The 16,354-nt window shown below is 46.9% G+C and overlaps 1 long non-coding RNA gene and 1 pseudogene across 2 annotated transcripts in view; one reads left to right on the top strand and one right to left on the bottom strand.

Moving 5' to 3' along the window:
* LOC105376654 (uncharacterized) overlaps positions 1-16,354 on the top strand; it is a 55,627-nt gene that overhangs the window by 16,096 nt on the left and 23,177 nt on the right. The gene's annotated exons all lie outside the window — the stretch shown is intronic.
* Positions 11,728-12,294, bottom strand: HMGN2P37 (high mobility group nucleosomal binding domain 2 pseudogene 37; annotated as a pseudogene).

Below are 16,354 nucleotides of genomic sequence, written 5' to 3'. Positions count from 1 at the left end.
AGAGGTGAGCACTGAGATGTATGATGCAGGGTGCTCACTGTAACACTGTTTCCAAGAATGAAACATCCGAAGGAACCTAAATGTCCAACAACAGGGGACTGGTTAAAAATGCCATTGTAGTTTTGTCGGGTTCTAGAATATAAGACAACCGTTAAGAATAGTGTTATAGAATAAGTGTCTAAAGGCATATGGAATGTGTTCCCGGTTGTATTTGCCTGTTTTCACACTGCTAATAAAGGCATGCCTGAGACTGGGTAATTTATAAAGAAAAAGAGGTGTAATGGACTCACAGTTCCACATGGCTGGGGAGGCCTCACAATCATGGCGGAAGGTAAAGGAGGACCAAAGCCACCTCTTACACTGCGGCAGGCAAGAGAGCATGTGCAGGGGAACTCCCCTTTGTAAAACCATCAGATCTCATGAGACTTATGCACTATCATGAGATAGTGAGAACAGCATGAGAACAGCATGGGAAAACCTGCCCCTGTGATTTGGTTACTTTCCACTGGGTCCCTCCCACAATACATGGGGATTATTACAATTCAAGGTGAGATTTGGGTGGGGACAGAGAGCCAAACCATAATGCCAATATAAAGTTAAGAATAAAGTTGGTTACAACATAAAGTGGGCCATTGGATTTCAGTTTTGTAAAAAGAAAAAAGAAAGTGGTATATACATGGCTTGTGGTTTATTTCTGCATTGTGTTTTCTGGAGTTTCCACGTTTCTGAAACATATGGCTCTTGTCATCAGATCACCCTCCCATTCTGTTATTAATTCTTTTCGGTAAGACAGGGAGGGGGCTTTCTGTCCCTGCAGGGCTTGGAGAGCCTGGCTGGCCACCTGCCAGGGAGGTAGGGAGATAGAGAGGCTACTCTCACAATACATGGAGGGAGGGTGTGTCCATTCCCCTTCCTGGGAACTCTGAACCCTCAGCCTGTCTCAGTGAGGAATATTTTCCCAGACTAGGGGCTGAGCCCCAGCCCGGCCCAGCTTCTATGTGTAAGGGTAGACCAGGAAACAGAAGCATTGCCCACGTTCCCTGGGGAATTTGTCTCCGCGAGGTGCCCACTGACAGGCTGGCTCATTTGTTCATTCATTCAACAAAAATCTCCTGAGCACCTACTATGTGCCTGCCACTGTTTCAGGTGCTGAGAATACAGTAGTCAATAAAGTAGCAGCATTGTTGTCCTTGTGGTGCCTGTATTCTTATGATACAGACAATGAGCAATTGAATACATATATAATATAATGTCAAGTGGTAAGAAGAGCCATAAGTAAAAAGGAAAGCCAAAAAAGATAGAGAAGGATAAGGGGGTGACAATTTGGGGTGGGCTGGTCAGGGAAGACCTCTGTGAGGAGTGGCAGTATTGAGCAGCTAGTTGAACATTGAGAGGGTGCCAGCCATGTGAATACCAGGACAGAAAGTTCCAGGTTGAAGGAGTAGAAAGTGCAAAGGTCCTGGGGCAGGAGTGTGATGGATATCTGAGGACAAGCCAGGGGAGACAGTGAAGCTGGGAAGACATGGCTCAGAATGTGATTATGGGAGGGTGGAGGGAGAGGCCAGACACTGGACTTGTGGGAGAAGATCAAAGACACTGGTTTTTGTTCTGAGTGAGATGGGAGCCTCCAGAGGTCTTTCAGCAGAGGAGTGATGAGGCCTGATGTCTGTTTAGCAGGATGGCCCTGGCTGGGCGGAGCAGGGAAAAAGCTGCTGCACCCACCCTGGGGATCAGTGATGGCAGCTGGACACTGACCTGCCTTCTGGGCCTGCAGCCATCAGGTCATCTCCCAGCTGTCCATCTCCTGAAGGCTGGGAGGCCTGTGAGGCTTGGGTTCACCCTCTGATATAGTTTGGCTCTGTGTCCCCACCCAAATCGCATGTTGAATTGTAATGCCTAATGTTGGGGGAGGGACCTGGTGGGAGGTGATTGGATCATGGCGAGGAATTCCCCTTTACTCTTCTTGTGATAGTGAGTGAGTTTTCATGAGATCTGGTTGTTTGAACATGTGTAGCACATCCTCCTTCACTCTTTCTCTCTCTCCTGCCCTGCCATGGTAAGATGTGCTTGCTTCCTCTTTGCCCTCCACCATGATTGTAAGTTTCCTGAGGCCTCCTAGCCATACTTCCTGTACAGCCTGCAGAAAAGCAAGTCAATTAAACCTCTTTTCTTCATAAATTACCCAGTCTCAGGTAGTTCTTTATAGTATTGTGAGAATAGACTAATACACTCTCCCTGGGGGAAGAGGCTGAGTGAGATCCGGGGTGATGGGGGGAGGTTGGGCCACAAGGTAAAGTCTGCAGCCAGAACCTCCACTGGTCAAGGCTGCAGCCAGGGTGCTCCACCGCTCTTTCCCATCAGCTGCTGAGATAAACTCTCTCCCTGGAGAGGGAAGGGGATGTCAGGAAGGATGCCAGACACACAGACTGCTTCGTTCGTCCAACAAATACTTATTGAGGATTTACTACATGGGAACAGCTGTGAACAAGAGAGATCGAACTTCCTGGCCCTACAGAGCTCCCATTGGAGTGGAAGGAGAAACACTAAACAAATGAATGAGTGAAAGATATAGTTGGCCAGATGATGGTAAGTGCTATGGAGAAAACTAAGGCAAAAAGTTAGGACTGTAGACACCCCTGCCCCAGATACTCATCTTCTTTTCCTGTTTCATTTTTCTTGTTTTTCTTGTCATTCTATTATTCTATACCAATTTGCTCATTATGTTTAGACTTTACTTTCTGTCCCGGCCCCCACTGCTAGTTCACTGCTGTCTCCTCAGATTCCATAACAGCACATGGTAATGGTAATTGCTCAAGATGTAGCTTTTGAATGAGTCATGCATAGGAAGGGTGGGAGTTGGGGAGCATCTCCCTTCATGGACCCCTCCTACTCTAAGATCAGCAGCTTCAGTCCAGCAAGGGGGCAAGAGAGGATCCTTTTCATGCTCTATACAGTAACTGAGATTGGATGTTGGCAGCTGGGTGGAATGGCACAGCCTGGATAATACTGTACAGGTTGGCCGTGGAGCCTACCAGGTGAGTCCTCCTGCAGTGCTCAAGCTAAAGGGACAGAGCCTGCCCCCGGGATCAAGGACAAAGACTTTTAATGAAACACAGAGTCTGAGCCAGCATTACAGGCCATAGACCTTCTAGGCCAACAATTCTTATACTGTTTCAGAGAGTGAAGGGCTGTCTTAGTCCATTTTATGTTGCCATAATGGAATATCTGAGACTGGGTGATTTATAATAAATATAAATTTAATTGGCTCGTGGTTCTAGAGGCTGGGAAGTCCAAGTTCCAGGTGACTGTGCCTGGTGAGGACCTTCTCTTGCTGCATCATCCCAAGGCAGAAGGTGGAAGAGCAAGAGAGCATGCTTGTATGAGAGAGGAAGGGGACCAAAGCCATCCTTTATATCAGAAGCCCACTCCCGTGATAACTAACCCACACCTGTGACAATAATATGTGATATGGTTTGTATCTGTGTCCCTGTCAAAATCTCATGTCAAATTATAATCCCCAGTGTTGAAGGTGGGGCCTGGTGGGAGGTGACTGGATCATGGGGGTGGCTTTTCATGAATGGTTTAGCATCATTCCTTTGGTACTGTCCTTGTGATAATGAGTGAGTTCTTGTGAGATCTGGTTGTTTGAAAGTGTGTAGCACCCTCCACCTGCTCCTACTCCTACCAGGTGAGACATCTTGCTCCCCTTTTGCCTTCTGCCATGATTGTAAGTTTCCTGAGGCCTCACCAGAAGTTGAGGAGATGCCAGGATCATGCTTGCTGTACAGGCTGCAGAACTGTGAGCCAATTAGGCCGATTTTCTTTATAAATGACACAGTCTGAGGTATTTTTTATAGCAATGCGAGGACGGGCTAGTATAGCATTAATCTATTCACCTGTTAAAGGTCCCACCTATCAACACTGTTGCATTGGGGATTAAGTTTCCAACACGTTAACTTTGGGGGAAACATTGAAACCACAGCAGAGGGGAAGGTGTCTTGGTACTCACTCCCCCATATTTCTCCCCATGTAATATGACTACTTCATTCATATTTAAAATCCATGCTTGGGAACTCATGGTGACAGGCTGGGTGAGACCCTAAGTCTTTTCTGGGTCTTGCTCTGGAGCATCCTCAGTGCACTGCACAGATTCTGGTCCCAGCTGTGGGACTGAAAGTCAGGTGGGGGTGTGGGCTGGGGGCCTCAGGGGTAAGTATGGAATTAGGGTCACAGATCAACAAATAGGTCTAGAACCAGAAGGTATGGAGGCTTTGTACAACTGTGTCTTATGATCTAAGGCAGGGTTTCCCCAAAACAGAGAAATAGAGGTGTTTTGTGGTTAAACTCTAAGTAAAACACAATCAAAATGTTTTATTTCCTATAGGACTTCTCAGGACCTTTACATGTTAATGAAAATTGTGACTCTAAGAGGAACCAATGCAGTATTTCCCAAACTCTTGTCCATGGAGTTTGGGATCCTCCTTTTTCATGTAGGATCTTGAAGGATTGGGATTTTTCTGAATACTCTGAGAGATTCTGGTCTGTGTTGGTACCTGTGTAAGAGGCTCCCCTTTCTTCCTGATCCCTTCTTTGCTTCATCTTCTTTCCCTGCTAATTCAGCTTGTGTAATGCCAACACCTTATTAAATCACAGAAACACACTTGGTTTTCTTTTATGAGCATTCAGAGCTATTGAGCTGTGCAGTGTCACAAGGAAACCAGACCTCATCAGACACTCAGGGCTCCAGTACTGAGTGAATCTTCAGTACCCAAGGTTGCCCCAGCACCAAACCTTCCTTGCTTCAGCCAGGCCCCTCTCCTCACTAGTCTGTAAAAGCTGTGAGCTTGCCTGCCTCTGAGCTTTTGCTTTGGCTGGAATATCTTTTTCTCCTCTTTGGCCACCTCCTTCAGGTAGTCTTCCCTGACTATCTCAGCATTGCTTCAGAAGCCCCAGAGGATGGTTTCAGAAAAAGACAGAAGGTGAGTGATAGGGTTTGGCTGTGTCCCCATCCAAATCTCATCTTGAACTGTAGCTCCCAGAATCTCCACGTGTCTTGGGAATCTCCGCGTGTCTTTGGAGTTGCCTTCCACGATGGAAGGCAACTAAATCATGGGGCAGGTTTTTCCCGTGCTGTTCTCGTCACAGTGAATAAGTCTCATGAGGTCTGATGGTTTTATAAAGGGCAGTTCCCCTGCACACACTCTCCTGCCTGCTGCCATGTAAGACTTGCCTTTACTCCTCCTTTGCCTTCCACCATGATTGTGAGGCCTCCCCAGCCATGTGGAACTGGGAGTCCATTAAACCTCTTTTTCTTTATAAATTACCCAGTCTTGGGTATTTCTTCATAGCAGTGTGAATATGGACTAATACAGTGAGAAACTCCAAGTGTTATTTAAAAATGACTGTAAAGCCAACCTGTATGCTATCCTGGAGACTGTAACTATGGGCATGCAAAAAGAACAAATTTGTCAAGAACTGAAAGGGAGAGCCACCCATCTCAGAAAGACTGACACTGGGGCCTTTTGTCCTTATGAAAATAACCCCTGTAGCGCTTGAATTACATGCAATCTCAGGATGCCTGATGAAGGCTTGTCCCTGACTAATTCAGTTGTTCTTTTTAACATTTTATTGTTGAAAATTTCAAACATGTACAAAATAGAGAGTATTATAATGATACCCCCTACAGCTTTTACCCAGCTTCAAAAAGTATCAATCTTGTTTCATTTCTATACTCACCCACCACACCATATTGTTTTTGAAGCAAACCCTGTATACCATATATTCTATCCATGTTTATCTCAGTACACTTTTATACTGTTTTTACATAACCATAATACAATTATCTCTCTAAAAATTAACAATAAATCCTTAATAAGATCAAATGTCCAGTGACTGTTCACATTTCCAGTTGCTTTATACATGTCTTACTTTTATTTATTTTTTTTAGTTTGTTTGAACTGGCATCCAAATGAGGTTGGTTGATATGTCTAAGTCTTTTTCAATCTGTAATCCCTATTTCTCTCTTTTAAAAATTTTATTTATTGAAGAAACCAGATGCTTGACCTGTGTGTTTCCACAATGTGGGCTTTCCTGATTGCATCCCCATGGTGGCTTCACTCCTCTGTCTTCTGTATTTCCTGTAAGTCGACAATTCATTTTTGAGGCTTGATCAGGTTCAGGGTTGGCTTTTTCAGTCATACAACCTCACAGTGCTGTGCGTTTCCATCAGGAGGCACATCATGCTTGTTGTCTCCAGCTTGGGGATGTCAGGAGGTATGGATGCTCACAGCTTGGATCCATTAATCCATTAGGGGTTGCAAAATGGTGAGATTCCAATCCTATCATCCCTTCCTCATTTACGAGCTGGAATACTTCTAAAAGGAGAAACATCCCCTCATCTGCAATTTCGGTACCCAGTAGTACAGTTTGTATAGGAAAGATGGGAAAAATGCTTGACTCTTTGTCTTTATTTACCAACTAATTACCTTTTGATGGCATGATGCTAACAGTTAATACTTGTAGAGCACTTACAGATCGCCAATGTTCTCATCAACACTATCTCATCTGATTAATTAATACCACACAACAACCCTGTGTGGTAGACACGACAGATGGTGTTATTTTTAAATCTTTTTTTTTTTTTTTCAGAAGAGAGAACTGAGATTCAGAGAAGGTAAGCAACTCGTTCAAGCTCAGAAAGCTACCAGAACAATCATTGCTAACTTACAGGGAGCCTTAACTCTGAGCCAGATGCTGTTCTCTAAATGTGAATTAACCCATTTACTCCTTAAACAACTGTAAGAGAAAGGCAGGGACAGTCTCTGTCCCCACTTTACAGGTAAAAAGTCTGAGGCCAAGAAAGCCTCAAATTGCGTGAGGTCACATAATAATACTAGAGATTACCCTTTATTGAGCACTTACTGCGTGCCAAATGCCTTGCTAGGGGCCTAAACATAATACAGCACTCTGCTATCTGTTGTGTGTTGGGTTCTTGCCACATGTCAGGCATATGTCTCTTCATAGCAACCTTAGGTTAACCCTGTGTTACAGAAGAGGAAGCTGATGGTCAGAGTGGTTGGGTCACAGTCCCAAGGTCACAGGGTTTGTATGGAACTGTGTTGGATTCCAAGCCAGTTCTCTTCTGCATTACACATCTCCAGCCCATGGGCCAGGACTTGAGCCTAGACTTTCTGACCAGAGTCTGTGTCCCTTCCCCAGAACCCTCAGAGTGTCTGATCTAGAGGAGGAAATTTTCCTGTGGGCTATCAGCTGCCTCCAGGCTCGTTCACCCTCCTGTAACCAATCTCTTCTGTGCTTGGCCTTAATTGACAAGGGGAGACCAGGGTGACAAAAAAAGGGAAGAAACCTCATTATGTGGCAACAGAATTAGTGGTTTTAGTGACTCCACACATCCCCAGATGTAGTTGGGTCGGCCTTTAATTGCTGTTCTCCACCACTTTTCTCCCAGAATTGGATTATCAAGCCCATTCAGGAGCACAACGTATTGAAAGGACTGGGGACCTCTTGGCCTAGCAGGGAGGGGCAGGAAGGGCCCTGCCAGCCTAGGAGGGAGGGCCCTGCCTGGGCCAAGAGGCCTACCTTTGTCTGGGGCCATGCTTGGTGCCCATCAGACATCATGACAAGGTCCTAAATCACGATGGCCTCAATAATCCTAGCGACCTGGGGCCAAGGATGCGGCTGCAGGCTGGTATGAACAGTCATAAATGCGAGTCTGCCAAGGGATGCTCTCCCTCCTAATGAGATGCTGTGGCCTACTTCCTGCACGGAGAGAGGCCTACGGAGATGGGGGAGAGGGCAGGAGGAGGAAAAACAAGAATCCAATTAAACCCTCAATTCGAGCAGAGTAAATGAATTTGACTTTAGGTGATCAAGAGGGAGAAAACTTCTAATTAGACACAGGGCAATCCTGGGGCTGAGCATGTTCGTGACCCGCCCTCATGCCCGCCCCCGTCACTTTTTAGATAAATGTTAAGGATTAGAATGACATGTAATTAAAATCCGTCAATCCCATACACGGGCTGCTGATGGGGTTGGATGACTGCTCGCTCACCTGCCCTCTGCTTTGTCATGAGGTCCCGCCCCCTCCTAGCTCCTGTGTTCTGATTTGCCCTCGCCGCCAGCCAATCCCGTTTGAGCAGGAGGAAGATTCGGGCCGGAGGGGCAGCCTTGGGACGCGCCCTTTTTCAAAGGCCAAGAGAGGGTTTGGAGAGCAGGGCTTTAATCTGGCCGAGGCACATAGGCCTCAGGTTGCACACTGGAGGCCCTTGGACAAAGGCTGACCCACAGATGAGTTAAAAACAATTGAAATGCATTTATGGCACTGCAAGATCTGGATATTTCACATAAATATTTGGATTTTCTAGTTTCTTTTGAAAAATCAAAAATTATATATTGGGCCTGCATTCCCACAGAGTAACAACTGGCTCTGGTGGAATAGTGGCCGACCATTTAGACAAGATGCGGGTGCCCCAGGTCATTACATCTCCTATCTGGCCTGGTTCACTCATCTGTTGGCCTTTCAGAGGGCAGGTCACTCGTGTGCTCAAGCCACAGGATTGCCTTGTGAATAATTAGAAGTGTTTTCCCTGTTGGCATTTCAATTTTGCAAGCTCTGATCTAGGTCTTCAATCTCTAGGCGAAGGGAAGTGCCCAAAGGTCCACTTCGAACTCCTCTTCCCACCCCAACTCACACACCTTTGCTCATGCAGAACCCTCTTCCTGGAAAGCCCTTCCTCCTGTAGAATCTTAAGTATCCTCCAAGGCTTCATTCAGTGCCACCTCATCCGGGAAGAATTTCCCATCTCCCTAGCAGGAATTTTGCCCTCCCTGCTCTGGCTTCTGGGATACTCAGTGTCCCTGCTATATAGCACCTCTCTGGTGTGTGATGGTGAAGCCACCTGCCCCAGTGGGCTATCAGCTAAGAGCAGGGACCAGGTCTGATTTGCCCTGCCTCCCTTCACGTGCTCAGCACAGGGACTGGCCCAGGGCGGACACCCCGTGAATGTGAATTGAAGAGCATTGAACACACGCCAGCATAGGACTGGCCTGGGCGCACGTGGCAGCGACCAGGACCATCTTTGCCTCTTTCCCAGGCCCTCTTCCCACCTCTTTTGTCTCCCATTTGCCGTCCCTTCTCAGGCTCCAGGCTTGCTGGCTGGAGATTATTTTCAGAAAGGTCTTTGGGAATGAACATGTCAGGATTCATCCTGCAGTGGACAAAGAGAAGCAATACTTAACTCAATGGAAAGATGTGCTCATGCTGGAATATCAAGCATGTAACAGCAGATAGGTCCACAGGAAGATGCCTTTTGAAAGCAGGGCCTACCAAGGGACTCATGGGCTATTCAGTGATTTATACAGACCATGATTTGTGTTATGGTTCATTGACGTCCCGCATTTGGCTGTGACCCAGTGTCACAGGACAAGTCACCTGACCTATTTGAGCTTCAGTGTCCTTGTATGAAAAATGGTGATAATAATACCTTCAGCACATTTCTTAAAAAGTTAAACATAAACTTTCCTCATGATCTAGCATTCTCCTCCTAGACATCTATCAAAAAGAAATGAAAACATGCACCCACACAAAAATTTGCACCCACAAGTCTTTGTGGCAGCTTTATTCATTGTATTAGGCCGTTCTTGTATTGCTATAAAGAAATACCTGAGACTGGGTAATTTATAAAGAAAAGAGGTTTCATTGGCTGATGGTTCTGTAAGCCATAGAGGAAGCATGGCAGCATCTGTTTCTGGGGAAGCCTCAGGGAGCTTTTACTCATGGAGGAAGGTGAAACAGGAGCAGGCACTTTACCTGGTGAAATCAGGCATAAGAGAGTGGTGGGGGATGCCACACACTTTTGAATGACCAGCACCACAAAGAGCACCAAATCATGAGGGATCCACCACCATGACCCAAAACTTCCCACCAGGCTCACCTCCAGCACTGGGGATTACAATTCAACATGAGATTTGGGTGGGGACAAATATCCAAACTATATAATTCATAACAGCCCCAAATTGAAAGCAGCATAAATGTACATCTACTTGTGAATAGATAAACAGAATGTGATATAACCATACAATGGGATACTATTCAGCCATAAAAAGAAATGAATGACTGATATATACTAGAACGCAGGTGAGCCTCAAAAGCATTAAGAAGCCAGACACAAAAGACCACATATTATAGACTCAATTTCTATATGACAGGGCAGAAATTAAATTAGTGGCTTCCTGGAGGCAGGCATGGGGTGGGAACAGGAATTGATATAAATGGGCAAGAAGGAATCTTATTGGGGTGATGAAATGTTCTAAAACTTGGGGTGATAGATGATGATAGCTGCACAACTTGGTAAATTTACTAAAAATAATTGCATTGTAAACTGGAAGTGGGTAGATTTTTATGAAATTGAAACATTGCCCTATAAAGTTGAAAAAAGTACCTTCTTGGCCAGGCACAGTGGCACATGCTTGTAATCCCAGCACTTTGGGAGGCTGAGGCAGTTGGATCACTTGAGGCCAGGAGTTCGAGACCAGCCTGGCCAACATGGTGAAACCCCCGTCTCTACTAAAATACAAAAATTAGCAGCATGTGGTGGCACGTGCCTGTAATCCCAGCTACTCAGGGGGTTGAGGCGGGAGAATTGCTTGAACCCAGGAGGCAGAGGTTGCAGTGAGCCAAGATCATGCCACTGCACTCCAGCCTGGGTGACAGAGTGAGACCCTGTCTCAAATAAATAAATAAATAAATAAATAAATAAATAAATAAGGCACCTTCTGCACAGGGCAGTGGCCATACTCAAAGGAGATGACACCCAGGCCACCTGGTTCAGTCTTTAGCGGATCCCGGGTGCTTCACAAATGTCAGTCTCAATCCCACTGTCCTTGGCCCAGGACAGTTTCAATGACTGGGGAAAAACAATTTGTGATTTCTGCTTTTTTCTGAGGCATTACCTTAAGGACACCATTTGAAGCCATAGGCCTCACCCTTCCAGGCTCCATTTGCCACCCATCCCCTCACTCTTTCCTCTCCAAGGCCTCTGCACCTGCCTCTTCTTGTAGCCTTCTCCACCCCACACTTACTACCTGTTTTCCCAAAGCCAAACTGTATCCAGGTTGATTAAAGATACTTTCGATAAACAATTGTCGTATTTCAGGCAAGACATGGGCAGACAAGCATTAATGGTATACGACAACGTTCAAACTCCCTTCTTCAATGGGCTGCCCAAATCGGAAAGCCACTATAAGACTAGACGAGGTCTTCATTTGATGCTGTGAACAGGGAAAATTTAGAGTGAGGGTTGACATTTCACATTTAACATGTTGTTTAACAATGTTTCACGAGCCCACTCTGACTTTCAGGAAGTAAAAGAAAATGGCAGACTTTATCTGAAGATCCTCAATGTAGAAATGAAACCACTGCTTCTTTAAGGGGCGCCGTCTCAGTGGCATCCCTGGAAAGTCCAGGCTGCCTGAGCCACTGGTAACCAGTGACTGGGGGTTGGATCCCAACAGGGGTCTGGGTTTATGGAAGTTAAGTCTATGCTAAAGGTGGGAATGGAGAAGATGACATAAAAACAAATTTTAGTTTTTCCACACAACAAGGCTTTTGTGCCAAGGTGGCTATGTGTGTCAAAGTCAGGGAATCCCTACTCCTGGGAGCCGAGAGGAAGTCTCCTAAAACTAGAAGGGAAAGATGTTTTCCCTACATCGATCCAGCTTCGGAGGCATTCTATTAGTGACATATGCTCCATTCCCCCCAAAACAACAAGGAAGTGTTCTGAGTGCTAACAACATAGCTTAAAAAAAGGTACAACAAAATTCTGCATTTTCATAAAACTTGATAAAAAATAATATTTCAAACTGTGCAGTCACCAGAGGTACACAGTTACCCCAAATGCACATACTCCACTTGGCAGCCCCAGCGCCTTCAGCTTTCTGTGCCTGCTCTGTGTTGGCAGCTGCATTTTCTGCAGGACAATTCCCCTCCTTGCCGGCATCAGCTTCTCCCATCTTCCCTTTGGGTCCCTTCTCTCCCTTCTTGGGTCCTTTTAGGCCTGGGCTCTGGCTTTGGAGGAGCAGGTTTAGCAGACAACCTTGCAGATCTTCTCTGTGGTTTGTCCTCCCCTTGGTTTCATTTCCCTTAGCATCTCCTTCAGCCTTTCACTTGGGCTTGGTGGTGACAGTAGCGGGACGTAGGTGCTGGACGCGGGGATGCAGGGGCGTGCAGGCTTTGGTGGGCCCGAGAGTCGTTCATGCCTCTTCTTCACACTACTCCCTACCTCTTTCCTAAACCATGTGATGACCTGGGGCCAGGCCTCCTCCTTCCCACAGGGTTCTGCTTCTTCCTGTTTTTCCTACACAAGCCTCAGGCTGCTCTTTGAGGCTTCCTGCACTCACAAACATTTGCTGGCTTCCCAGTGCCTGCAGGAGAAAGCTGGAGCCGTCACCTGCAGGCTCTGCCATTGGTCTCCTTCCTCCCTCTGCCTTCACTTCCTTCTGCTCCATCTTAAAATGACTTTCCATGTTCTACCTTGGCACCTTGGCCTGTGCCATCTCCCTGATGCAGGCCTCACCCTCCTGTCAGCACCCACAGCAGGAACTCTCATGCGGGGTAGGAGGGGGAGCTTAGGAACTTAGACCCAGCTGGTTCTAGACCTGGCTCTACTGCTTAGCAGCCAAGACACTTCAGTTTCCTTGTATGTGAGATGGGAGTGTTATCGATGTGTAACACGCAGAGCTGGGCAGTGTCCCTCTTGCTCACAAGATCTGAAGTCCATGAGGGCAGGGATCATGAGCCCCACCCTACCCCTCCCTGCTCCAGAGTATAACATCCTTGGGACCTAAAACAGAGCCTGGCACAGGGGTATGTCCCAGCACGAGTCTGTGGGCGCATGAATTAGTGAAGTCTGGATTGGCTTTTTTTCTAGTGCCTGGTCTGTGTTTGGTAAATGCCCCTCCCTCCTCCTGTTGGCCTGTTTTTGACAAGCATTTCTTGGATGCCCGACATGTGCTGGGCATTGGATATGGGGCTTCACTTGTAGGAGTAGATGAATAGAGTCACTCATTCATGCATTTCTTCAACTCATGTTTCCTGGGGTCCTACTTTGTGCCAGGCAATGTTCCAGCGCTGGGGTCATAGCAGAGAGCAGGACAGACACCCCTGCCTTCATGGGCTATTTCCTAGTGAGAGGAGAAAATGACAAACCATCACTATAATAATAATTAACTAAATAAGCAGACTATCCAGTGTGTCTACTGGCAATGAGTGCTAGACAGAAAATCAAGCAGGGAAGCGGGTGGTGGTGACAATTTTGAAGAATGTGTCAGAGTAGGTCTCAGGGAGGTGACATTGGAACAGGTGCTGGGGGGTGGAGCCATGTTAACATCTGGGGAAGTAGCCTTTCAGGCAGAGGGAAGAGCAGGTGCAAAGGCCCTGTGACAGGAGCCTGCCTGGGTTGTCTTGGCTGTAGGTAGTTGGGAAGGTAACACTAGGGAGGTGACAGAGGCCAGGTTAGAACTTGAGCCTTTGTTCTGGTGGAGGGGAAGCCATTGGGGGGTTTGAAACAGTGGAGTGAAGTGACCAGACTTATGTTTTCAAAGGATTCCCCTGGCTATTGTGCTGAAAACAGACGGTAGTAATAACAGCAGTCAACATTTACCAAGGGCTTACCCTGTTCTGGGCACAGCTCCAAGCCTTTTAGACAGTTCAACTCATTGAATCTTCACAACGACACCATGAATTGGGTACTACAATCCCCATTTTAAAAAAGAGGAGAGGGAAGACTCAGAAAAACAATTTTCCCAAGTTCATATAGCCTGTACATGACAGAGCTGGGGTTTGAACCCAGACAGCAGTCCAGGCCAGGCACCTGTGTGAGTACCATTACTCTGCACTGCCTCTTGCATGGGGAAAAATGGGGCTGTGAATTCAGACAGACCTGAGTGTAAAGCCTCACTCCATTTGACAGCTGTGTGGGCTTGGGCAAGTTACTTAACTACTCTGTGTTCTAGTCTCATCTGTACACTGAAGATAATAATAACAACTGTAGAGGTTGCCAAGGTGAAACAAGGTCAAGGGTAAAATTCTATATGTGGCCGGGTAGAAGTCAACACATGGTAGCTTTTCCTTATGAGCCGAGGGCTTGGCTGCTCAGCCTGCCCACTGCAGTCTATCCCTCCTGTCCCCAGCAAGGGATGACATCAACCTTTAAAGATGGTGTCTTTACAAGGACTGTAGGACCTTGGCCCAGTCCCTTCCTTTTTCTGGGCCTCAGCTGTCCCTTCTGGAAAGAGGAAGGGCCCACGTGGTGCTGGCGTGGGTCTCTCCCAACTCTGCAGTGCCACAGTTGTGCCTAGTAAATTTTGCCTACCCCTCCCCACCCCACCTGGCCCAATCCGTGCAGCTCTACCCCAGGGCCCCAAGAAGTAGAACAACCTGACAAGGAAATAAACACCGGACTGAGCCCTAGCTCCTCACTTAAGGCCCTGCTGCTGGGGAGGCAGCCAGGCCTCCTTATGGCCAAAGACATTAAAACCCTTTGCACGTAGGGGCTCCATGGTGAGAGCTGACTGCGTGGTCAGGAGCTGCGCTGCCCCAGCCTGCCCGAGACCCAAGGGGCCCAAAGCAGATGGCTTCTCTCAGAGTCTAATTATCCACCCGCCCAAAGCTCCAGACAGGCCCTTATTGCGACAGTCATTGTCTGTCTTCCTTGCCCTGGAAAGGGAGCAGATGAGAGAGGAGGGCAGCTGGCGAGCTGGTCCACTGAGAGGGAGGCCAGTGTGGGCTGGGGGATGTTCCAGAAACCCGCCCCAAGGAAGGTGCTTGTGTTTGGGAGAAGGTGCCCCGTTCTGGAGTCAGGGGATGCTCTGGAGTCCTGGCTCTGCAGCTTCCCGAACAGGTAACTCAAATGCTTTGGGCCTCTCTTTTGCTCTCTTTTCGTGTCATGTTGATCTGTTAGTTTTGGGGTGGGGGTGGCTCTCAGAAAAAGGTCTGAGGTGTGGCTTATGGGAGAGGTCAACCACTGCTTGAGCAGATCCTTCTATCACGGCACTGGTCACTCTGGCTTATGATCACGGTTTCCAAGCCCATCTTCCACTAGCTTGGGCACCCCAGAGGGCCAGACCTATGTCTGGTTGCATCTAGCATCCCCAGTGCCCTGCACACAACATGGTATATAGCCGATGCCTAATAGTTGGGTGCTAAAATGAATAAATAATGGCAAAAGTTTGCCACTGAGTGAGTATTCTTTTTCTTGCCTTTCAGTTGCAGTCAGGGATACTCCCTGGCAAAATTGAGATGAATGAAGTTTGTCTCTGAGCCCTTCCCACTTTACTTTCCATGTCCTTCTCTCTCCTCATTTGGTATTGTGTGTCCTCCTCTATCATCAGGCAGCTGTTAGGGAGAAAATGATCTGTGTGTCTAATTTATACTAAAGTGAAAATGACTGATACAACTATCAGTCATTCTTTACATTTCTGTAATGGACAATTCCTAATCCAAAGGGATGAAACTTACTGGCCCAACTGCAGGGAGTCCCATACCTCTTTCTAAAGCCTCATCTCCTCGTACTCATGTGTTTTTCCTCCTCCCCCTCTCCCCATCTTGTGAATTTCTGATTCTACCACATCACATACCTCAGTGGCTCATCAGAACTTCAGAGGTGATCACAGCCACCCAGTGCAGGGTAAGATAGATTGAAACCCCCAATGACAGGAATTACAAGTGATGGGGAGTTCACCACCTTTAAGGCAGCCCATTCTATTGCTCTGACTGATGCTGAAACTTCTGTCCATTAGCCCGTTTCATCCTTCTCTGCCTTCTGGAGCCAGAGTCAAATGCAGTAACCTGGTCCCCTTTCACATCATAACCCTTAAATGAAGGACTTTATGTTCCCTAAATAAAGACCTCTAGACTTGCTATTCCTATGTGCAGAATGTACTTTCCTCCCTCTGAGCCTTTGCTCTTTCTCACCTCTCTGTGCCCTCTCCCTTCAAGGTCACTTTCCAGTCTGAGGTTATACCTTGCTGTTGGTTTATTTGTAGAACAAATATGATGGACAGCACCGCAAGCCCAGTGGATTTGTGGTGATTCTCAAAAATTCCCTGGAGGAATGGGTTTGGAGAGTGCTGTCTGCATTAAATAAATTATAACAGGCAATGTTCATTGAGAGCTCTCTTTGTGCCTGCCACACACTGTTAGAAGGAGATATTACCTAATATAGTCCTCCCAGCGATGCCATGAAGTGGGCTCTTTCATCATCCCCACTTATAGGTGGAAAAGCTGAGGCACAGGGACATTTTGTCATGTTCCCAAGGTCCAATAGCTAAAAGTAAT

The sequence above is a fragment of the Homo sapiens genome, chromosome 11 (assembly GCF_000001405.40).
Source record: "Homo sapiens chromosome 11, GRCh38.p14 Primary Assembly".
Taxonomy (NCBI): Eukaryota; Metazoa; Chordata; class Mammalia; order Primates; family Hominidae; genus Homo; species Homo sapiens.
The sequence above is the reverse complement of the archived record's forward strand: the minus strand, read 5'-3'. Positions and strand labels throughout refer to the sequence as shown.